The sequence below is a fragment of the Homo sapiens genome, chromosome 1 (genome assembly GCF_000001405.40).
Source record: "Homo sapiens chromosome 1, GRCh38.p14 Primary Assembly".
Taxonomy (NCBI): domain Eukaryota; kingdom Metazoa; phylum Chordata; class Mammalia; order Primates; family Hominidae; genus Homo; species Homo sapiens.
The window spans coordinates 155,477,273-155,502,854 of NC_000001.11; the positions used below are offsets into that span (position 1 = coordinate 155,477,273).

A 25,582-nucleotide genomic window follows, 5' to 3' on the forward strand; every position below is an offset into this window, starting at 1 on the left:
ATTTCTTTTTTTTCTATCTAATTGAAGCAGCTTTTATGAAAACATCAAAAGGTATGCTGCAAAATGAAGTCTGTCTGAATGAATATTCAGTTAAATTTTACAATGCTGAAAATGTCCAATGTTTGAATTTTTATTATGAGACATACAGTATTAATAACATATTCTTCCTGTAACAAAGATGCATTTATAACTACTGGATTAATATACATTAAAAATCCTTCCAGCATTACCTTTTACCTCTTGGGGTGGTGGGGGCAGGGGGTGGTGGGAGATCCTGCATACTACTAACAGACCTATGAGCCATTTGTCTTTATAAAAATTGTGTAATAACCTGTCTACATAAAAAAGATGAATGATTTTTCCTGGTTTCCAAAAGTTATGTATATTTCTTTCTTTTTTTCTTTTTGACAATAGCTCTTCTCAAAACAAAAAAATAATATAGACATTCCCTACTTCTTAAATCTTAAGGAAAAGGAATACTGAGATTTCAAAATACACTTATTAAAAAACAAAAAAAGATATATATATTAAAAGTTCATCTACATTTATCAGGCACCTGTGGAAAATAACCTATTTCTTTAACAAATAACAGGTAACAAAATAACCCTCTTACCTGCCAAAGTCTGTACTGCCCTTTCGTTAGAAGGCAGTGACTCCTTTCTGTGAAGCCGATTTAGTGAAGTGTCCTGTGCAGAAAAGAGTCCAGGGCTGTCAGTTAATTTCTTCCGGCCACTGGAGTTAGGGTTTGAAACTCTGCAGCTGCCTATTGCACTTGTGAAAAGGTTTGTATGTTCATCACTGCTGGCTGGCTCAGAGTTGGGAGTGAATCCTCCAAGGGATAAGCTTGGAGAACTTTCTGAACAGTCAATCTGTAAAGGTGTCTGCAATCCCAAGGCCAATGGACTAGATTCTGAAGGCTCTCGGTGGACCCACTGTTCCTCTCTGTTTATTAAGCTTTTTGAAGGAGAGAGATGAGGGCAGGACATGTGACAACGGTGCTTTTCCTTATGCTTATATCGCTCTCCAACAGCATCCTTTCCAAATCTATAGCGCTTCAAAGATTCCAGGACAGATCGGGAAGAGCCAGTGTCCATAGAAACCTGGGGTTGTTCAGAAGAACGGTGTTCTCTGTGTTTGTGACGGTGCCTGTGTTTGTGCTCAACCATCCAACCATAGGCCATCTCAGGAGGAACACTGGGGTAGGTACTCATGGAAAGGAGGGGAGTCCTGCTGGTTGTAAGAAAGGCCTCCTGTCGAAGTAGCTTATGCTTTTTCTTATGGTATTTGGCAGGATTGAGAAGTAAATGACCAGCATGCATATAGGAAGGAGGTGGAAGTGGCGTGGTGAAAGAAGGAGATGGAGGAGGTGGATAAAGAGTGGGAGGATACCTTCCATAGTAACCTAATCCTATGGGAGCAGCTGTAAGGGGTGAAGGAGAGTAAGGCATACCATAAGATGGATAGAATCCAGTACTAGAAAGAGGAAAACTAAGGCTGTGCATAAAAGGCATTTCAGCCATTGCCTCCCTCATCTTAGGGGGTCTCCCTCTTTTCTTTTTTAAGTCAGGTTTTCGAATGTAGTGCAAAGGGTCTAAGGGGAAAGAAGGATGTGTATAGAAACTATTAAAGTTGATTCGAAAGATAGTTGGCAGAAGATCTCGGGGGATAAAATGATGACTTCGATGAGTGATCCGAATTTCACTTAGGCGACTTATTAGTTCCTCCAGCTCTGCAATAAAGTCTGGATCCTGTCTATTTCGAAGCTGGGGATATTTCTTTTTCCGTTTTCGTTTCTGCCTTTTCATCTTGTCATAGCTGAGGTAATCATGATTCCTGCGCTTACATTTGTGTTTATGTTTTTCTTTAAGACTGCTTAGCACTGTAGAGGTTTCAGGGGGAATCAGAGAAACATGCTCAAAAGAATGCCTCCTCTTTTTTTGCCCACAAAATTTCTCTGCCCTGTCTGATGTGCTGTTATTATCTGTTCCAATTCCACTATCACTGGGAATGGTCTCATCACTATGAGACTCACTGATTGGGGAAGGAGTAGCTTCTTTTAGAGATGTGAGTTCACTCAAGTGCGAAGGAGAATTTGGCAACAAAGTAGGAGGAGATAACCGCCTCCTCCCCTTTGAGGCCTTCTTCATTGCAAGAGTCTGAATCATACTGCCCTGTCTGGAGTGTAAATGCAAATATGGCACTGAACTGGGTTCAACAAAACCTGCATCACTACTTACAGGGCTCTGACCTCCACTAGTCCCAGAAGACTGAGAGCAAATAGGTGATGGAAGAATCTCAGAACTACTAGCAGATGAAGGCAGTAATGGGGGAAGAATCTGTCCTAATGCTGACCCAGCTGCCTGTTGAGCTGTTTGCTCAAGAACAGCAAGGCTAGTAGGACTACCAGAAAGAATACCATTTAAGACAGTTTTTGGTTTGCGACCTCTTCTCTTTCCTATATAAATGGTTCCTTTCTTGCTGACATTTATCTGTTGGCCCAATTTAGAGCCAAATGTGGCAGCAAGACTTGATACCGTATTATGGAGTTTGGATTGCACTTTCCCTTTATTACTTGATTCTACAGAACTTGAAAGAATCTGATTCAACAGTTTCTTTCTCTTTAAAGTCTTCATTTTATTTATTTTGCGGATAATTGTTTTCATTAATTGTCCATTGTTTCTCTTGGTAATTTTTTTATCTGGTTCCATCTCAAGGTCACTCATACTACAGACACTTGGCCTATGACTGTCATCTAGGTCATCTGGATCCTGAAGTTGATCCTCGCTCTCAAAGAAATCACTGCTACTTCTATGGTTGTCACTTTCAGATTCTAGCTTGCTTGGACTTTCAGTGGCAACAAATGGAGCCACTGACAGTACAGGTGGCTTCATCTTGACTGGTGACCTCATTTGCCTCTTAGGCCTGCCTCTCTTTTTTGGAAAAGGAGACACAGACAGACCTTGTTTGAAGGAAGGGATTTCAATTTCTGGCTGTAAAATTGGGGGTTCTTGTTCTTCCTTAGACTGTAAAGAAAACACTTTAGAAGCAGGGATTTTTAAAGTCCTTTTAGGTGGCCCTTCCAGTTGAGGCATCTCCTTAGATTTAGGCCTTCCTCTTTTGGGCTTATAAATATCAGACAAAAGGTCACTAGAGACACACATACTGGAGGATAGTTTGTGAGTAGCAAAAGACTTATGAGATGGTTTTTCACTATCAGCTAAGAGAGCAAGAGATGGAGCTGTGGATTTGCTCAACTTTGGCAATCGGCGTTTAAGGAAGTCATGATCTACAAATGAAGGGGGTCCAATGTTTTTCATAAACTTGGCTGGCTCAGAATTACTATTTGATAGTGAGCTACATGAAACGTTTTTAAAAAGCTCTGATCTTTCTAATTCTAGCCCTTTTGGAGACCGGCATGTGCTTCTTGCCACCACTTTAGTCCACCGAGGTTTTCTTCCTTTTCTTTTTTTTAATGGTTTGGACTGCAAACTAGTACTTAGGCTTTCAGCAACTTGGCAGTGTTTGTCTGATGCAGATACTGCACCCAGTTTTAAAAAAGGCTTATTACTAAATAAACTAGTGAAGTTAACAACTGAAGGAGTAATAGTATGAATGCTGGATTCAGAAGTCAAACTTGGCTTTTTTCCAAGGGAAGAGCTTATTCTTGGAATATCTATATGGGTAGTTTTTGAATCATTTACCTCTTTATCAATCCCTTTACATTCAATACTTATACTATGACCAACTGACCTATGACCAACGTTCAAGTGGGTACTTTCAGAAGTAAACTGGTTCTTTCCAACAGATTCAGAAATTTCTTCGATTAGTTCTGTAGTAGAACTTAAAAGTAATGGATTAGGAGCCAACTGTGAAGAAGTTTCAGGGGGACTTCTGGTTAAAGGATTAACAGATACAGTAGGTGATGGGGAAGGGAGATTGCTTTCTCCTACTGCACTGAATGGGGATTTAGCGGTAGATACATCAGAAGCACCTCCCATTTTAAAGTCCGGAGAAGTGCAATATACAGGAGGCTGCTTTTCATGCTTTGAGGTTTCATAAGATCCCTTTTCACTGGATGAGAAACTGTCTTGCTGAATGCATGTTCCTTCATTAAACATTTCTTTCTCCAAATTAATGATTTCTTTTCGTACTGAGAACTTTTCCAATATGCTTTCTTTATTCTGCCGTACAACATTCTTTTCAAAAGTTTTGCTGGTGGCACTATCTTTCAGGGATTCAGAAAGTTCCTGACTTTCCTGATTATTGATGTTTGTACTACAAGAAGCCTTAAGCGGTTCCTGAGTGGGGAGCAGTGCTTCGGCTTTAAGGTTTATGGCATCTTTACTGATCAGACCTGCCAAAGGACAACTCATTAGTTTCTTTCCAATGTCCTTATTAACCAATCCCATTGCTGAACTTGCTACAATCTTCTTTGCACAGTCCTTGGCCACTAGGCCAACAGTAGAACCCAATTTCTTTCCCAAATCTTTATTAACCAGTCCAACCACAGTGCCAAGTCCTAACTTCTTGCCAGACTCTTTATGCACTAAACCTGGAACAATACCAATTCCTAGCTTCTTTCCTGAATCTTTGCTTAGCAGTCCTACTGTAGTGATAGTTCCTGGCTTTTTGCCTAAGTTTTTATTAATGAATACCGCTGTAGTGCCAGTTCCCAGTTTTTTCACAGAGTCCTTATTGACCAATCCTACTGCTGCATTAAACACTGGCTTTTTCCCAGGATCTTTAGTTACCAATCCAACTGCTGTGCTGATGGTTGGCTTTTTTATTAAGTCCTTATGTATTATTCCAGCTACAGAGCCAACACCTGCTTTCCTGATCAAATCCTTGCTAACCAATCCTGCTGTAGTGCCAGTTCCTAACTTCTTCGGTTTTGTCTTGGAAGACTTGGAAGGAGGACAGGTAGCAATCAGCTGTGCCAACTTTTCTGTTACACTAGTTCCTCCATTAAGTAATGCTCTGTCCTTTAAATCAGGATCCCGGCTACCAAGAAGAGTAGATGGCGTTGCATTAATATAATCTGCCATTTCTGAGTGTACTGGAGACAGCTTCTTAGACAAAGGATTGTTTTCTCCCTGTGAATGAAGACGGATGACTTCTTCAGACTGGCATTCAATGGCTGCAACATCATCTGCTTTCTTGTACAACTTTGAAGGGTCCTAAAATTTGAACAAGAAAAAAGTTAAAGAGGGAGTAAACCTTACACCACTTTAGCTTAGCTTAACAATCCAACAAACTAATGGATCACATATCAGATAAACAATAGGCAACAGTGGTTTTTAAAAAACCTAATATTATACTTATGTCACAGTATGTTAGCTCATCTGCTGCTATACGAGAGGCTATCATGGTATATTATCTTTGTTGACTTTCAACACGATAAAACTATACATTAGAGGGTCTTTAGAAATATCCCTGATATTTTTGACATTTTTTAAATGGCAAATCAATAGTCTACTTTCATCTTACTTTTGACTGGGTAAATATAAATGAAGCATATGAAGTTACCATTTTTGAAAAGAAAATTATTTTTAGTTACAGTATCCTATGGTCGTCATCTAAAATAATAGTTTACTGCCTACCTCCTTCATTGACTTAAATGATTCTAAACCTATAGAAGACAATCCCTAACCTACTTCTACTCTTTTATAACTCATTCTCAATTATGGTCTTGAGTGAGCAGTAGAGCTCTCTCTTAATGTGGAATAGGAAAGACAATTTAAAAATTCATATTTTCATCAGAATGTGTTTTTATATAAAATCTTAGAATGGGAAGTAACATTTAAGTCATTTACCGTAAAATGCTAATTCATGAATCCTCACTATATACTCTAGAAATGAATTCACTACTTCACACAATAGTCTGTTTTACTTTTGGATAACCACTAAAGAGTTCTTCCTAAATATAAAATACTCAGAACTGAACAAATGTAAAGTTATACTGTGTTTGTGGATAGGAAGACATAAAGACGACAATTTTCCCTAAGCAAATTTATAAATTTAATGCAATCTCAATAAAAATACCAACAGATTTCTTTGGCATTTAGAAAAATTGATTGTGATGTTCAATGGGGAAAATAGATATGCAAGAATAGCTAGAAAAACCTAAAATGTAGAAAAGCCAGGGAATAACCATACCAAATATCATTTTTCAAAGCCCCAATCATTGAAACAGTACAGAAGTGACAAATGAAAAGACAAACAAACCAATGAAACAGGACAGAAAACATAAAACCAAATTCAAGCACGTATGAAAATGTACTGCATGGAAAACGCTACAATCTAGTTATAAACTAGAAAAATTCCATATGCATTTAACTACATCCTTTGACCCAGAAATCCTACTTTGAGGGTCTACCCAAGATACACTCTTAAAAATATAATGTCTGCACAAGGGTCCAAAATGCACCACTATTTTAATATAAAAAAAAAAAACCCTAAAAAAATCCAAACAATTATCTACAGAAAACTGGCTGAATAAAGTAAGGTACATCTGTACAATGGAATATTGAGAAATTGTCAACAAAAACAAAAGTAGGAGGAGTAGGAAGAGATATCAATATAGTGCTATGGAGTGATTTCCAGGATATATTATTAAATGAAAAAAAGCAAGGTTGAGAACAATGGTTATAATATGCTATGCTATGCTATGCCTTATACATATAATATACCTTCTGTATAAGAAAATGGGGATGAAGAATATGAATATATATATGCCTACCGATTATATTTTAAAATGGAATGAACCAAAGATTAGCGAAAATAGTGACTTATGGGAAAGTAAACAGGGTTAGAAACTAGACCCCTATGCATCTAACTTTATGGTTTTCAGTTTGGAAGTGTTTTACATAGTTATGAAACAAAGTTATATATAATAAAGGAAAGCATCCCAGATCTCCAAATATTAAAAGCAATAGGCCGGGCATGGTGGCTCACGCCTGTAATCCCAGCACTTTGGGAGGCTGAGGTGGGCAGATCGCCTGAGGTCAGGAGTTCGAGACCAGCTTGGCCAACATGGTGAAACCCCATCTCTACTAAAAATACAAAAATTAGCTGGGGCTGGTGGCACGTGCCTGTTATCTCAGCTACCGGGAGGCTGAGGCAGGAGAATCGCTTGAACCTGGGAGGCAGAGGTTGCAGTGAGCCGAGATTGCGCCACTGCACTCTAGCCTGGGCGAAAGAGCAAGACTCTGTCTCAAAAACAAACAAAAAAGAAATTCATCTATTCAATATATAGAAAATTAGTTATATAAGTATATGAAAAGTAATTATTTTGAATTACTATAAAACACAATATTGAGAATCTACATCCTAAATCTCAAAACATTACCCAAAAAACAAACAAACAAGCAAGCCAGCCAGGCGCAGTGGCTCATGCCTGTAATCCCACCACTTTTGGAGGCCGAGGTGGGCAGATCACCTGAGGTCAGGAGTTTGAGACCAGCCTGGCCAACATGGTGAAACCCCATCTCTACTAAAACTACAAATATCAGCCGGACGTGGTGGCGGGCGCCTGTAATCCCAGCTACTTGGGAGGCTAAGGTATGAGAATTGCTTGAACCTGGGAGGGGGAGGTTGCAGTGAGCCAAGATCGTACCACTGCACTTTAGCCTAGGTGACAGAGTGATGCTCTGTCTCAAAAAAAAAAAAAAACAAAAACAAAAACAAAAACAAAAACCAACCAACCACCCGGTGCAGTGGCTCATGCCTGTAATCCCAGCACTTTGTGAGGCCAAGACGGGTGGATCACCTGAGGTCAGGAGTTTGAGAGCAGTCGAACATGGTGAAACCCCATCTCTGGTAAAAATACAAAAAATTAGCTGGGCATGGTGGCGCATGCCTGTAGTCCCAGCTACTCAGCAGGCTGAAGCAGGAGAATCACTTGAACCTGGGACGGGGAGGTTGCAGTGAGCCAAGATAGCACCACTGTACTCCAGCCTGGGCGAAAGAGCGAGATTCCGTCTCAAAAAAAAAAAAAAACCCAAAACCAAATACCAAAGAACCTCTACCTCTCTATTTTTTATTTTTATTTTTATTTTTTTTTAAGAGATGGGGTCTTGCTCTGTCACCCAGGCTGGAGTGCAATGGCATAGTCATAGCTCACTGCAGCCTTGAATGCCTGGGCTTAAGCCATCCTCCCCCCGCTCAGCCTTCTGAGTAGTTGGGCTAACAGGCACAAGCCATCTTGCCCAGCAAAAGAAAGTGGTAAATTGCCCTCAGTGAGCATATTACTGGTAATACATATAGTAATTTTGAATTTAGACAGATAGATGACTAACAGATACATAGATAAAATAGGTAACCATGTGAATATCACTAGGAACCAAAATGTTAGAAGCAAAAAACGTACAACTATAAAATCAAAGAAGTAAAAGGCTATACTTTTAAGATAGAATTAAAAATATATGAAGTCTATCTACCTCTCTATCCATTAAAATGCCTACAAACATCGACAACCCATTAGCAATGAACACCTCAAGACCGTGGTCTCTAAAACCATTTCCCATTAAAATGAATCAGGGCTCCTGCAGAAATGACTGTTTCCAAATATTAGACAAGAAATATAAAAGATGATCCTAGTGACAGGTATCTAACTCTAGTATCTTCACTTTGAACTAGTCACTATGTTTTTGTATTAAATTTCCCATAATGAAATGTGTCTATTGAAAAAAAAAAAAAAGTTCTTCCTAAGAGTAAAGTGAAATATATTTTTTTGCAACTTTCAGTTACTGGTCCAAGTCTCACTTTCTAAAAATCACAGAGTAAGTCTAATTCCTCTTCTTCCCAATGGCTGTCAGACATTTGAACTCAACCAAAATATTTAACTTCCTGACTCAACAGTTTCACTTCTTTCTGGTCATTTTCTGATGCAAGTGTTTTAAGTTTGTAAATATCCCTCTTTACATGTGGCACCTTTAAATGAACACAATACATGTGGTACTTGATTGACTCAGAATAAAGGGAACTATCTCTTCTTTTGGACTGGACCTTATAATTTTGCCCAAGGGCAAACTGGCTTTGACAGTCTCATATACTCAGACTTATGTTAACTTGAAAATTAAATAAACCCCACACACTTTCTTCACATTATATTAAAGAATCCCGGGGAGGTGGGGAAGGTTAATGGGTACCAAAAATAAAAAAAAAAAAATAGAAAGAATGAATAAATAAGACCTACTGTTGACAGCACAACAGTGTGACTATAGTCAATAATCATTTAATTGTACATTTTGAAATAACTAAAAGAGTATAACTAGATGGTGTGCAACACAAAGGATAAATGCTTGAGGGGATGAATACCTCATTCTCTATGATGTGATTATTACACACTGCATGCCTGTATCAAAACATCTCATGTATCCCATAAATACACTATGTATCCACAAAAATTAAAAATGAAAAAACAATTCCCATTCATTACTTTTATACTTTTAAAAACAAATATTAAGCAGTTTGTTTTAAATATTTTTAAACATATTTATGCCTGAAAATGACACTTCCAATTTTAAAACTTATCCTTAAAAATGTGAACTATGATTACACGCAATACCATGTATTACAGTTTAAAAAAAAAAAAAGAAAAAAAAAGCTCTGGCTGGGCACAGTGGCTCACGCCTGTAATCCCAGCACTTTGGGAGGCTGATGCGGGCAGATCACTCAAAGTCAGGAGTTCAAGACCAGACTGACCAACAGGGAGAAACCCCGTCTGAAATGAAAATACAAAATTAGCCGGGTGTGGTAGCACATGCCTGTAATCCCAGCTACTCGGAAGGCTGAGGCAGGATAATCGCTTGAACCCAGGAGGCGGAGGTTGCAGTGAGCTGAGATCATGCCATTGCAGTCCAGCCAGGGCAACAAGGATGAAACTCCACCTCAAAAGCAAACAAACATACAAAAAGCCTCACGAACAACACTGAATTAATGGAGCCAGAAAAACAGAGTACCTATTCTGACTTCATTTATATAAAGACCACAAAGAGGAAAAATTTATTATGATATTAAAAATAAAAAAAATTATTACTCATGGTAAGGACAGTAATGAGAAAGAAGCCCAAGGGGTTCTTACTGGGTGCTAGCAATGTCATACTACTTTTTTATTTTTTTTAAGACAGGGTCTCACTCTGTGGCCCAGGCTGGAGTGCAGTGACCTGATTCTAACTTTGAACTTCTAAGCTTAAGTGATCCTCCCACCTCAGCCTCCCAAGTCTGGGACTGCAGGCACAAGCCACCATGTCTGGCTAATTTTTTTGTGTTGTTTTTTGTTTTTTGGTTTTTTTGTAGAGATGAGGTCTTGCTTTGTTGCCCAGGCTAATCTCGAACTCCGGGGCTCAAGTGATTTTCCCTCAGCTTCCCAAAGTGCTGGGATTACAGGGGTGAGCCACCGCACCTGGCAAACACATTTCTTAATCTGAATGTTGGTTGTCCCATATGGCTGAGTTCATGAAAATTCGCTGAGCTGTTACATTTATGATGGGTATTTTTCTATATGTATGTTATACTTAAATAGGAAGTTATTTTTTAAATTCTGTCTAAAAGTAAAGTAGAAACATATTCAGCTTCCTTAATTGGCTAATGAATGTGTTCAAGCCTGGTTTTTCACTTTTTTTTTTTTTTTGAAATGGAGTCTTGCCCTGTTGCCCAAGCAGGAGCGCAGTGGCGCCATCTCGGCTCACTGCAACCTCCGCCTCCCGGGTCCAAGCAATTCTCTGCCTCAGCCTCCTGAGTAGCTGGGATTACAGGAGCCCGCCAGCAGGCCCAGCTAATTTTTGAATTTTTAGTAAAGACGGGGTTTCACCATCTTGGCCAGGCTGGTCTTGAACTCCTGACCTCGTGATCCACCCGCCTCAGCCTCCCAAAGTGCTGGGATTACAGGCATGAGCCATTGTGCCTGGCCTGGTTTTTCACTTTTACCTGAAATAAATATCTGAGAGAAATTAAAAGCAGTTTAAAACAGAGTTCATATCCCACAGTAAATGGTCTATGACTAAATAAGGCACACAGATAATTTGATGTTGGTTTCAAAAATCTTTTCTTCCAAATCCTGATACTATATAAAATAAATGAATGAGACAACATTAAGATTTTGAAGCCGGGTACGGTGGCTCATGCCTGTAATCCCGGCACTTTGGGAGGCCGAGGTGGGCAGATCACGAGGTCAGGAGAGTGAGACCATCCTGGCCAACATGGTGAAACTCGCCTATACTAAAAATACAAAAAAAAAAAAAAAAAAAAAATTAGCAGGGTGGCGCATGCCTGTGGTCCCAGCTACTCAAGAGGCTGAGGCAGGAGAATCACTTGAACCCAGGAGGCGGAGGATGCAGTGAGCCGAGATCACACCACTGTACTCCAGCCTGGGCAACAGAGCAAGACTCTGTCACAAAAAAAAAAAAAAAAAAAAAAAAAAAAAGATTTTGAAAACTGTATTTGGTACTGATGATATTATCCTCTTACACTTGTAAGAACACTTTAAAATGACTGATAAGAGTTATCACTTTAAGAGAGCATATTATCAATTAGGCACTGAAAAAGATGCTGTATTAAAACATGATATTAAGCATGTAATTTTTTCCAACAGAAAAATAGCTTTAGTCCACATATAAAATACTCTCATTTAAAAAAAAGAACCAAAGTATAAATAATACCTTTCATGAATAAAGACTTTACATTTCAGATATTTTACCATATACATCAAAATAAACAAGTGTACATTCTTTTATACAAATGGAGCCAACAATGCTTGCTGTTTTGTAGCCCATTTGCTTTAAATGATATGACACCTTTATGTGTAAATAAGAGTTAGATGTTAAATTCAACAGTTTCACAATAGTTCATAATTCATAAAATCAACCACCTACTGACTGTAATTAAATAGTTTCTGGCTTTTTGTTACTATAAATAATATGTGGGCGCGGTGGCTCACACCTGTAATCCTAGCACTTTGGGAGGCCGAGGAGGGCAGAACATCAGGTCAGGAGTTTGAGACCAGCCTGATCAATATGGTGAAAACACCATCTCTACTAAAAATACAAAAAAATTAGCTGGGTGTGGTGGTGCGCACCTGTAATCCTAGCTACTCAGGAGGCTGAGGCAGGACAATCACTAGAACTCGGGAGGCAGAGGTTGCAGTGAGCCGAGATTGTGTCACTGTACTCCAGCCTGGGAGACAGACCGAGGCTCTGTCTCAAAAAAAAAAAAAAGGGCTGGGCACGGTGGCTCACACCTGTAATCCCAGCACTTTGTGAGGCCAAGGCAGGTGGATCACGAGGTCAGGAGATCAAGACCACAGTGAAACCCCGTCTTTACGAAAAATACAAAAAATTAGACGGGCATGGTGGCGGGTGCCTGTAGTCCCAGCTACTCGGGAGGCTGAGGCAGGAGAATGGTGTGAACCTGGGAGGCGGAGCTTGCGGTGAGCTGACATTGCACCACTGCACTCCAGCCTGGGCAACAGAGGGAGACACTGTCTCAAAAAAAATAAATAAATAAATGGGGAGACACTGTCTCAAAATAAATAAATAAATAAATAAATAAATAAATAAATAAATAACAATATGGTAAACATCCAATTGCATTTTTCTTTCCATACTTGTTCAATTACTTCCTTCAGGTAAATTTTTAAAGGTGAAAGTACAAAGCTGAAGGGCATATGCATTAGTTACACACTAGACAATGACATGTAAGACTTTTTTTTTTTTTGAGACGGAGTCTCGCTCTGTTGCCCAGGGTGGAGTGCAGTGGTGCCATCTCGGCTCACTGCAAACTCCGCCTCCCAGGTTCACACCACTCTCCTGCCTCAGCCTCCCAAGTAGCTGGGACTACGCCCGCCACCATGCCCGGCTGATTTTTTGTATTTTTAGTAGATATGGGGTTTCACCGTGTTAGCCAGGATGGTCTCGATCTCCTGACCTTGTGATCTGCCCACCTCGGCCTCCCAAAGTGCTGGGATTACAGGTGTGAGCCACCATGCCCGGCCAAAAAAGACTTTTTATTTCCAATTGTCAGTATGTAAGATGTCACAACCTTATATAAAGACATCCAGGGTTGGGCGTGGTGGCTCATGCCTGTAATCCTTGCACTTTGGAAGGCCAAGGTGGGTGGATAATTTGAGGTCAGGAGTTCCAGACCAGCTTGGCCAACATGGTGAAACCCCATCTCTACTAAAAATACAAAAAAAAAAAATCCAGCTGGAAGTGGCAGCACATACCTGTAATCCCAGCTTCTGAGGTAGGCTGAGGCAGAATTGCTTGAACCCAGGAGACGGAGATTGCAGTGAGCAAAGATCGCACCACGGCACTCCAGTATGGGCTACACAGCCAGACTACGTCACACACACACACACACACACACACACACATACACACACACTCTCTCTCTCTCTTTTTCTGGCCAGGCCTCGTGGCTCACACCTGTAATCCCAACACTTTGGGAAGCTGAGGCAGGAGGATTACTTGAACCTAAGAGTTTGAGACTACCCTGTGCAACACAGGGAGACCCCCTTCTCTACAAAAAATAAATCTCCAAAATTAGCTGGGCACAGTGGTGCATGCCTGTAGTTTCAGGTACATGGGAGGCTGAAGTGGAGAATGGCTTGAGCCAGGAGGTCAAGGCTGCAGTGAGCCATGAGCCATGATCACACCACTGCACTCTAACCTGGGAGACAGGGTGAGACCCTGATTCCAAAAAAAAAAAAAAAAAAAAAAAAAAAAAAAAAAAAAAAAAAAAAAGACTTCCTATTGCATTTGTTTATATTTGACTTATCTATTATTCTAAACGTCTTTTCACATGATTTTGCTGGCCATCTGTATTTCTCCTGCAGTGAAAAGCTGTTCAAGATCCTGGTCCATATTTTTCTAAATTGTGGAGGTCATTTCTAATTTAGATGGGCCCTTAATATAATACTTCTTTCTCACATGTTGCACATTTTTCCCAATTTACCAGCTCTCTTTCACCTACTATTCTTCTTGAAGTTAAAATCTTAAACAAAAGGTTTTAAAAATTTTTATTAAAAAGTGAAAGGCCCAGGCTGGTCTTGAACGCCTGGCCTCAAGCAATCTCCTGCCTCAGCCTCCCAAAGTGCTAGGACTACAGGTATGAGCCACTGTGCCTGGCCAAAATCTTTTATGTATTCAAATACTTATGAAAAACTGTACTAATTACCTCACATATTCCTTACAACCACCATATAGTGAAATTACTATAACTATCCTCATTTAAAAGATTAAAGAGTGGTTTAGACATTGGCTAACTTGCTCAAGGTCACTTAACCAGTAAATGATTAAGAAATAATTTAAACATAGTCTGATTTCATAACTAAAGTGCTTAATCACTGCATTAAATAAAATAGTCTCTTTAACTTTATAGGTTTGTTTTGGGGTTTTTTCTCTCTCTCATTTTTTTGAGACTGAGTTTAGCTCTATCACCCAGGCTGGAGTGCAGTGGCTCAACCTCGGCTCACTGCAACCTCCGTCTCCTGGGTTCAAGCAATTCTTGTGCCTCAGCCTCCCAAGTAGCTAGCTGGTTTACAGGGACCCACCACCACGTCTGGCTGATTTTTATATTTTTAGTAGAGATGGAGTCTCACCATGTTGGCCAGGCTGGTCTCGAACTCTGGACCTCAAGCGATCCACTCACCTCAGCCTCTCAATGTGCTGGGATTACAGGCGTGAGTCACCGTACCCAGCTCTCTTTTTTTCATTCATGAAAAAATATATTCCAGCCTAAGGTGGAATATAGTTTTGTTTACTTTTTTTTTTTTTTTTTTTTGATGGAGTTTCACTCTTGTTGCCCAGGCTAAGAGTGCAATGGTGCAATCTTGGCTCACCGCAACCTCTGCCTCCCAGGTTGAAGTGATTCTCCTGCCTCAGCCTCCCGAGTCGCTGGGATTACAGGCATGTGCCACTGCACATGCACAGAATGCCTGGCTAATTCTGTATTTTTGGTAGAGACAGGGTTTCTCCACATTGGTCAGGCTGGTCTCGAACTCCCAACCTCAGCCGCCAGCCTCGGCCTCCCAAAGTGCTGGGATTACAGGCGTGAGCCACCACGCCCAGTCTTGTTTTCTTATACTTGGAAAAATCATGTCCTTCTAGACGACAATCTTCACTACACTTTCAATTAATTATTTTTCGGTTTCTTTTCGTTTTTCCTTTATTTGCCATGTTAAATTCTAAAAATATAATCTGGGGGTAGGGAAGCAGCCTTTATTCCAAAAGGTTTGCTCATTGTTCTAAGAACATTGCTCATTGTTCTAAGAACATTACTCATTTCATGCCCATTGATTATTTATAATTAATGTAATGTAATAACATACTTATTACATATTCTTATTCGTATTTGGATCTTACTCTAAATTCCTAAGGTTTTGTTTCATTCATATTTATGATTATTATTGTGCCACTAATATATGGATATTATAACTTCATAATAACGTTTGAATATTTGAAAACAAGTAGGTTTTTTTTTTTTCTTGTATTCCTATAGAAATTCTCTATTTTATTTACAACATTACTGAGATTTAACTCACATGCCATAAAATTCACCTTGTTTTTGTTTGAGACAAGGCCCGGTTCTGTTGCCCAGGCTAGAGTGCAGTGTCAATCTCAGCTTGCCACAACTTTTGCCCCCCCAAGCTCTAGCCAACATCCCACCTCAGCCTCTCAAGTAGCTGGGATCACAGGAATGCAACACCATGCCTGGCTAATTTTTTCTAGAGATAAGACACTCACTTTGTTGCCCAGGCTGGTCTCGAACTCCTGAGCTCAAGTGATCTGGCTACCTCAGCCTCCCAAAGTGTTGGAATTACAAGCATGTGCCACTGCACCCAACCAAATTCACCCTTTTAAAGTGCACAATTCAGTGGGTTTTTTTTAACTATAGTTACAGAATTGTGCAAATATCACCACTACTTTAATAACCTTTTCATCGGACTGTTTTTCCATACGTATACTTCCTCACAAACTTGAGATATGATTGAAGTTTTTAAAAAACCTCACATGGCTTTAACTTTGTATCTTAATGTAGAAAAACATATCTCAACATTAACTTTAGCTCTACAATAACAAAGTAAATGTATTTAGTCAAGCTTTTTCGTGTTTCTGGGTATTTATATCTATATAAATCCTAAACATGTGCTGTTAAATATATTTCTAAGTATTTCATAGATTCTGCTGTTTCTTTTATTAATAAATTCTTCTTGCTGTTACAGAATACTTTCTAACTATAACTGATAGTATTCAAGAACACTTGATTTCATTTTATAATATTAAATTCTTGCTTCATCAATAATTCATTTTTCAGGGGGGGCATGGCGGTTCACGCCTGTAATCCCAACACTTTGGGAGGCTGAGGCAGGAGGATCACCTGAGGTTGGGAGTTCAAGACCAGCCTAGCCAACATGGTGAAACCCCATCTCTACTAAAAATACAAAAAAAAAAATTAGCTGGGTGTGGCAGTGTGTGCCTGTAATCCCAGCTACTTGGCAGGCTGAGGCGGAAGAATAGCTTGAACCAGGGAGGCAGAGGTTGCAGTGAGCTGAGATCGTGCCACTGCACTCCAGCCTGGGGGATAGAGCAAGACTCCATCTCAAAAAAAAATTTTTTTTTCATTTTTTCAGCAAGTATTTACTAAGTACCTACTATTGAGCACTGAGGATAACAGCAGTTAAAAAAAAATCCAAAAACATCTTCCTCCATGGAGATGTCATTGTAATGCATGAGCAAAGTAGAGAAAATAAGTAAAATATTTGGTATATCAGATGATAAAATGCACTATGGAGAAAATCAGAGCATGGAGGAATTGAAAAGGCCAGGGATGGAAAGAATTTACAATGTTAAAACGGGCTGTCGGAAAGTTCTGATTGAAAACTCAATTGTGCAGAAATGAAAAGGAGGTGAAAGACAAAGATGGATCCATGTAGGTATGTGGGAAAAAACAGGAACCAAGAAAGCAAAGGCCCTGAGCCAGGAGCTTGTCTGTTTAAAGAACAATAAAGAATCCATGTTTGCAGTACTAGAGTAAGCAAGAGAAGAGTAATGTTGCAGGTGGTAGGAAAATGGACATTTTTCAGTCCAAGAAAGAGGAAGCCATTCGAAGATTTTATGAAGAGGTATATGACTTGACCATTCATTCAACAATATTTATGGGTACTTACTGTTGTGGATATGTCAAGGAAAAGACAGACAATTGCAGAGAGGACAGTAAAGAAAAAACACAAAAAACTTTTAAAGATTATTATTTGTTAGAAGGTGGCAAGTGTTAGGGGATAAACAGCAAGTGAATACTAGGAGAGGGCTTGCAAAATTAATTAGGCAATTAGGTTATGCTGCGATGATCAGCTAACATTTTAGTAACGACAGAAGTGAGGAAATTATTAACTCACTTAGAGGAAGACTGAAAATGATGATCAGGAGTTTAGTTTGAGACATGTTAAAATTGAAATACTTACTAAACATCAAAGTAGAGAAGCCTAAGAAGAAAGATTCAAATTTAGAAGTCAACAGCATATTGACATTTAAAAGCTTGAGACTGGACATAACCGAGTGAGGGTGAATGTAAACCGAACAGTAAACTAAGGACTGATAACACCAAGGTATTGTAACATTAAAGATCATGAAGATTGAGAAGCCAGAAAAGAATAAGGAAAAAGAGAGAGAGAGAGAGAGAGAGAATGAATGTGTGGTATCTTGGAACCCAAATGAAGCACATATTTCCAGGAGCGACAAATGCTGCTGACAAGTCAAGTAGAAATGAGAACATACATTTGTTTGTTGGATTGGAGTCACTGGTAATCATGCAACAGCAGTTCCTTTATTAAGGAGCAAAAACCTGGTTGAAATGGGTTTGAAAGAGAATGGAAAGAGAAATCTAAAAAGTAAGTAAAGAATAGCAAGGGAAACAGTGAAGTGGGGTGACAGCTAGATGATGAAGTAGAATCAAAGTACGGTGTGTGTTACCTAACAATGGGGATAAATTCTAAGAAATGTCTCTAAGAAATGTGATTTTTGTCATTGTATGATCATAGTGTGTAATTACACAAATCTAGATGATATAGCCTGCCACACACCTAAGCTGTATAGAATAACCTATTGCTCCTAGGCTACTAACCTGTACAGCGTGGTACTGTACTGAACACTATAGGCCACTGCAAAAAAAATAGGATTTTTGTATATAAACATAGAAAAGGTACAGTAAAAATATGGTATAAAAGATAAAAATCTACTTATAGAAAATATAAGTACACCTGTATAGGGTACTTATCATGAATGGAGCTTGCAAGACTGTACGACACTCTGGGAAAGTCAGTGAATGCTCAGTGACTGTGAAGGGCTAGGACATTACTGTACACTACTGTTGACTTTATAAACACTGAACACTTAAGCTACATTAAATTTTTAAAAATTTCCCTTCGTCAATAATAAATTCATCTGGCTGGGCACAGCAGCTCAACGCCTGTAATCCCAGTACTTTGGGAGGCTGAGGCCAGCGGATCACTTGAGGTCAGGAGTTTGAGACCAGCCTGGACAACATGGCAAAACTGTGTTTCTACTAAAAATACAAAAATTAGCTGGTCATGGTGGCAGGAGCCTGTAATCTCAGCTACTCGGGAGGCTGAGGCAGGAGAATTACTTGAACCCAGGAGGCGGAGGCTGCAGTGAGCCGAGATCGTGCTATTGCACTCCAGCCTGGGCAACAAGAGCAAGACTGTCTCAATTAAAAAAAAATAAATAAATAAAACAAAACAAATTAACCTTAGCTTCCTTTTTTACTTTATTACCTTTTACATTTTTTTACTTTCTGACTCTTTTGTAGTAACAGCTTAAAATGCAAATATAACATACAGCTGTACAAAATCTTTTCTTTGTATCTTTACAATTATTTATTTAAAAATTTTTAAATTTGTTTTTACCTTTTCAACTTTTTTGTTAAAAACTAAAACACAAACAAACATTAGCTTAAGTCTACACAGGGTCAGGATCATCAAGACATCATTAGGTGACAGGAATTTTTCAGCTCCATTATACTCTTATGGGACCACCAAAATGTGATCTGTCATTGATCCAAACATGATTACGCAGCACGCGACTGTAGTTTCTTTTGAATGTGGAAAATGACATCTTTGTCTTCTCAAAGTAAATGTAGCCATAAAAAGAAAAAAGACATGCACTCATGAAGTTTAATATATATGTATGCATGTATATGCGTGTATGGTAATATAAAATCTACTACAGAACTACCGGTTCTAATGGAATTGACTGAATAATTCCATCTTTCATCCTCTGATTTGAAATGCTACACTTCCCATGTACTAAATCCTCACGTATACACGAGTCTACTACTAGTTTTTCTTTTCTTCTTCCTTTTTCTTTTTGAGGTGGAGTCTTGCTCTGTCACATAGGCTGGAGTTCAGTGGCAAGAACGTGGCTCATTGTAGCCTTGACCTCCTGGGCTCAAGCAATCCTTCCACCTCAGCCTCCTGAGTAGCTGGGATCACAAGCATGTGCAATCACGCTTGGCTATTTTTTTTTTTTAATTTTTGTAGAGAGGTGGGGGTCTCACTATGTTGCCCAGGCTGGTCTCAAACTCCCGGGCTCGGGCAATTCTCCCGTCACAACCTCCCAAAGTGCTGAGATTACAGGTGTAAGCCACCCCACCCAGCCAATTATTAGATTTTCTATTCGGCGTCAGTGATTTTCCGTCTGCCAGTCCACCACAACCACAATATTCTAACCCTTTTAATTTCTGTTTTATTATCTAATAAGCCTGATTTCTAGTTACTGTTCTTTTCAGAAAAGTTGTGGCTACTCTTGCTTATTTTTCCATACAAACCTTACAAGTAACTTATCTAGTGCCAATTTGATTTGTTTAAAATTTTGATTCTTAAACTTGCAGACACCCAGAAGAAGTGAAAGCAGGAACTGGAACAGGTATTTGTAAATCCATGTTCATGGAAGCATTAGTTAGTCACAACAGCCAAAAGCAGGCTGCTTCACAGTTCATCAATGGATGAATAAATGAAATATGGTATATACAACTGATTCTTGAACAACAAAAGTTTGAACTGTGCAGGCTTCATAGCATATGGAGATTTTCTTCCACCTCTGCTACCCCTTAGACAGCAAGACCAACCCCTACTCTTCCTCCTTGGCCTATTCAAAATGAAGACGATAAGGATGACAACCTTATCAACTTCAACTTAACGAACAGTGTAAATATTTCATTTTCTATTCTCTTACTTTAAGAATATAGTACATAATACATATAACATTAAATATGTGTTAACAGGCTATGTTATCGTTAAGGCTTCTGGTCAACAGTAGACTATTAGCAGTTACGTTCTGGGGGAGTCAAAAGTTATACTTGGATTTTCAACTGTGTGTGGAGTTGGTGCCCATAACTTCAGCATTGTTAAAGGGTCAAATGTACACACAATGGAATATTATTCAGCCATAAAAGAAGAAAATTCTTTTTTTTTTTTTTTGAGACGGAGTCTCACTCTGTCGCTCAGGCTGGAAGTGCCGTGGCACGATCTCGGCTCACTGCAAGTTCCGCCTCCCGGGTTCATGCCATTCTCCTGCCTCAGCCTCCTGAGTAGCTGGGACTACAGGCGCCTGCCACCAGGCATGGCTAATTTTTTTTTGTATTTTTAGTAGAGACAGGGTTTCACCGTGTTAGCCAGGATGGTCTCGATCTCCTGACCTTGAGATCCACCCGCCTCGGCCTCCCAAAGTGCTGGGGTTACAGGCGTGAGCCACCACGCCCGGCCAAAAGAAAATTCTAACGAATGCTAAAACATGGATAAACTTTAAAGATACTATGCTAAGTGAAACAAGCCAGTCACCAGCAGACAAATATTGCATGATTCCACTTACATATGAGGTAACCAGAACAGTCAAATTCATAAAGACAGAAAACAGAATAGTGGTTGCCAGGGGCTTCTAGGAGGGGTAACAGGGGAGTCACTGTTCAATAGATACACAATTTCAGTTGCAGAAGATTAAAAAAAAACTGTAGAGAAGAACGGATGGTGAGGGCTGCAAAACAATGTAAATGTACTTAATGTTACCTCAGCCTCCTGAGAAGACGGGACTACAGGCACACACCACCATGCATGGCTAGTTTTTTTGGTTTTTGTTTGTTCATTTTTTTGTTTTGTTTTGTTTTTTGTATTTTGAGACAGAGTTTCGCTTTTGTTGCCCAGGCTGGAGTGCAATGGCATTATCTCGGCTCACCGCAACCTCTGCCTCCCGGGTTCAAGCGATTCTCCTCCCTCAGCCTTCCAAGTAGCTGGGATTACAGGTGTGTGCCACCACGCCTGGCTAATTTTGTAGTTTTAGTCGAGATGGGGTTTCTCCATGTTGGTCAGGCTGGTCTTGAACTCCCGAACTCAGGTAATCTGCCTGCCTCAGCCTCCCAAAGTGCTGGGATTACAGGCATAAGCCACTGTGCCTGACCAGCCGGCTAGTTTTTAAAAATGTTTTGTAGAGACAGGGTCTCTCTATGTTGCCCAGGCTGGTCTTGAACTCCTTGGCATCAGCCACTGCGCCTGGCCCAGAAAACACTTTCAAGAAAAGTACGCTTCAGTTTGTGGCATATAATCAAAAGAGAACCAAAACATCTGAGAACAGGAGTAAAAAAAAAAAAAAAAAGCCAAAAAGAAATATTAAAGAAAATTAAACATATAGGTCAAGAATGCATTTTAATAGAAAGTCACCAAATATTTTCTTTTCAAAAGCAGACCACAATGGGCTTTTCTTAAATTACAAAACCATTAGATGCTGAACTTGAATTTTATATTCCACACTGAAGCCCCAAATTCTATCCTCATTATATGGCCCTCATAGGATCAAGAGTAAGCCAAAACATGTTACTAGCATAATTTCTTAAATAAATTATGATAAAATAATGGCAATACTAATATAGAAATCATCATGTGATGTAAACTTCCACCACCCAAGAAGTTCTTCTTGCTATATAATTTAAGGAATAGACATAAGGTGTCAATTTGTCCCAGTGGCAGAGGACAAAGTCTTCAGGGTCTTTTTAACACCTCTTTTATTCCCAACATGAAAAACCACTGCAAATCTGACTTCATCTATAGTCTTTCTCACAGGATTTCTCCCTATCCCCATCTAACTAGTTACGAAAGAGGTACAATTTTGAACTATGTACTCAGTGATTTTGACTCACAAAGTGAGGTCAGAGAGGAAACTTTTCTTTCATCATTAAGTTTCATCTTGTCTTCCTATTAATGAATTTTCATAAAAGTTCCAGGTTTTGTCATCTTATCATATAGGACCTTTAATTCTGATGTCTCTCAAAAAGCTTTCATTCATTTCCATACAGCTGTAGCTCAGAATTAATTAGTAATGTGTAATTATTGAGCAGCCGTATGTGAGGATCTCTGGAGTGATTTACAATCATTAAAATGAAATCAAAGATATGAGCAGACAACCATAAAAAGCAGTATACGAATTAGTGAGTGAAAGTAATGATATTTAGGCTTAATTCTCTGGGACTAAAGAAGATATACCTTCTAACAATTTGGTTCAATAATGATTTTTTTTTTCCATTAGCAAGATCAACAATGAAATGAGAAACATTCACATTCACCATATATACACCATTAAAACAAACCACAATACAGACTCCAGCAGATATCCTAGCTATGAAAGTGAACTCTTCAATCAGCCAAATGCAGTACTGATTAGGGAAGTTCCTACTACATAATGAAAGCAAGAATTGAGGATGAACCTGATTAAACTAATTACGGTAGTTTTAATCTTCCTGGCACATTTATAGCAGAGGCTGCAGAGCCCAATGGCAGGGATTTGCTTTGCCCTTCCATTTAAGGGAGCTCATGCTTCCGTAATAGAAGTCATTTTGAGAAAAGAGTGACATCCTGTTTTATCTCCAAGGCTTTAGGACAGATCACAGCCCCTTAGCTGTCTATTTTGTGTATGTAAAGGGGGAAGAAAGGTTTTACTGAAATGTAAAGATCCAGGATAATTTGCATAATTGCTGCTGCCATGGAGAAGCTGGGCTCTGTGCCAACTGTTCTCTTCTCTACCATAAAAATACCTCTAGCTTAAGCAGCTTTTAAAGTAAACAATCAAGATGAAGGTAAGACTACAGAATCCATCATAGCAAGACTCAGAGATACCTACATACAATCGGGTCTTCTTGCTTGAATAGCATTTGTCAACAAGAACATGGAAGTGAAAACGCAGCAGTCAAATAATGTAGACATGCATTCTGGACCTCTTCATAAATAGGCATAAGGAAAAAAAAAAGCACTCTGAGATGGCACGCAGCCCATAGGGCACAAGTAAGATGACAGAATGTGCCTATCTTCTCCTATTAACAAGTCCCAAATTCTCTGGTAAGAGCTGAGGAGCCTAGACTGGGCGTGGTGTCTCACACCTGTAATCCCAGAATTTTGGGAGGCCTAGGCGTGCAGATCACTTGAGGCCAGGAGTTTGATACCAAACTGGTCAACATGGCGAAACCCTGTCTCTACTAAAAATACAAAATTAGCCGAACATGGTGGCACATGCCTGTAATCTCAGCTACTCAGGAGACTGAGGCATGAGAATCGCTTGAACCTGGGAGGCAGAGGTTGCAATGAGCTGATATTGCACCACTGCACTCCAGCCTGGGCGACAGAATGAGACTCTGTCTCTAAATAAAAAGAAACTATATTTAAAAAAAAAGAGCTAAGGAGCCTAAACACAAAGAATTGGTTTAAAAAATAAAAACAAAACAAAAGGCAATTGGAAAAACACAATACCCCATAGTATTAATAATAAAATTGTTTGACTTGGGTTCATATGGTACCACCTATTTGGGGTAAGTCATTAAGATGTGTTAAACTCTTTCAAAAGGTGTTTGACATCTAAAAATGTTTTGTCTTTCTTCCTTATTTTTAAAATCAGAAATGGGGTCTTGTTACGTTGCCAAGGATGGATTTAAACTCCTGGCCTCAAGCAATCCTCCTGCCTCAAGTCTTCTGAGTAACTGGGATTACAAGCCTAAGCCACCATGCCCAACTTCAAAATGTTTTCTTAAACTAAGATTACTTTCAGATGTTCCTAATTATTTATTACATATTGTCTCACTCTATCACCTAGGCTGGAGTGCAGTAGCACAATCTCAGCTCACTGCAATCTCCACCTCCCGGTTTCAAGTGATTATCGTACTCCATCCCTCCAAGTAGCTGGGACTACAGGTGGGTGTCACCATTCCTGGCTAATTTTTATATTTTTAGTAGAGACCAGGTTTTGCCATGTTGACTAGGCTGGTCTTGAACTCCTGACCGCGGGTGATCTGCCCACCTTGGCATCCGCAATTTCTTAAAAATAGCAATCTACAGATTGTTTTATTCATTCATTTTTTTGAGACAGAGTCTCGCTCTGTCACCAGGCTGAAGCGCAGTGGCGCAATCTCGGCTCACTGCAACCTCCACCTCCCGGGTTCAAGCGATTCTCCTGCCTCAGCCTCCCAAGTAGCTGAGACTACAGGCACACGCCACCATGCCCAGCTAACTTTTGTATTTTTAGTAGAAACGGGGTTTCACCATGTTGGCCAGGATGGTCTCGATCTATTGACCTCATGATCCGCCTGCCTCAACCTCCCAAAATGCTGGGATTACAGGCATGAGCCACTGCACTCGGCCTAGAGATTGTTTTAAATAGGCATGAAAGTTTTACTATATATTTTTAGCAAATGAGAGAAGAGGAAATATTTGAGTAATACAGTTATGACAGTTTTCTTTTCTTTTCTTTTCTTTTTTTTTTTTTTTTTGAGACAGAGTCTCACACTGTCATCCGGGTTGGAGTGCAATGGCGCGATCTTGGCTCACTGCAACCTCCGCCTCCCGGGTTCAAGCAACTCTTCTGCCTCAGCCTCCCGAGTAGCTGAGATTATAGGCACGCACCACCACACCCAGCTAATTTTTTGTATTTTTAGTAGAAATGGGGTTTCACCATGTTGGCCAGGATAGTCTCGATCTCTTGATCTTGTGATTCGCCCGCCTTGGCCTCCCAAAGTGCTGGGATTACAGGCATGAGCCACCGCGCCCGGCAGATAGTGTATTCAAAAGCAAAATCTTAGGAATAAGGAAATAAATACTCACATTCTCAAGCTATATTTTAAGCACTGAATTTTTGGTAATGATGATGGTATTTGTTTTATGCTTACAGATCTTTTCTTCAGTCTTACTGAACTGTTTTTAAAGCATTTTCTGTGTTGCTCATAAAAAGCACAAACTTAAAAGATCACCCTGACACTGAAGGAGCCAAAGAAATAGAGAAATCAATTAATAATTATTATACAATGTGCTATATGTTAAAAACAGAAATATATGCAATGGAAACACAGAGGATAGAGTAACCTCCTAGAAAGGTTCAGGGAACGTTTCACAGAATTGGGGGATGTCTAAGCTGAGTCTTTCCATTCCCTCATCCTCCTTCCTTTCTCCTTGCACAGTGAAACTTTTTTATCCTTTTTGCTTTTTATTTAGAAATTTAGTGATTAAATTTGCTTTTCTAATTTTTCTCATTTATCTTAG

General features: G+C 39.5%; 1 protein-coding gene across 14 annotated transcripts in view, besides 2 other annotated features; it reads right to left on the reverse strand.

Moving 5' to 3' along the window:
* ASH1L (ASH1 like histone lysine methyltransferase) overlaps window positions 1-25,582 on the reverse strand; it is a 227,935-nt gene that overhangs the window by 142,005 nt on the left and 60,348 nt on the right. For all 14 annotated transcript variants that reach the window (XM_047425248.1, XM_017001785.2, XM_006711450.4 and 11 more), the window contains one exon: window positions 614-5,177. In XM_047425248.1, the coding sequence (XP_047281204.1) occupies window positions 614-5,177 (4,564 nt within the window). The remainder of the gene's footprint in view (window positions 1-613; window positions 5,178-25,582) is intronic.
* Window positions 22,742-23,243: an enhancer, noted in NCBI's record as "NANOG hESC enhancer chr1:155469805-155470306 (GRCh37/hg19 assembly coordinates)". NCBI's record gives its function as "activates a minimal SCP1, AML or CMV promoter by ChIP-STARR-seq in naive H9 embryonic stem cells {active_cell/tissue: H9 hESC(naive)}" and the evidence as "EXISTENCE:reporter gene assay evidence [ECO:0000049][PMID:30033119]".
* Window positions 22,924-23,093: an enhancer, noted in NCBI's record as "active region_1816". NCBI's record gives its function as "activates an Ori minimal core promoter by ATAC-STARR-seq in GM12878 lymphoblastoid cells {active_cell/tissue: GM12878}" and the evidence as "EXISTENCE:reporter gene assay evidence [ECO:0000049][PMID:35858748]".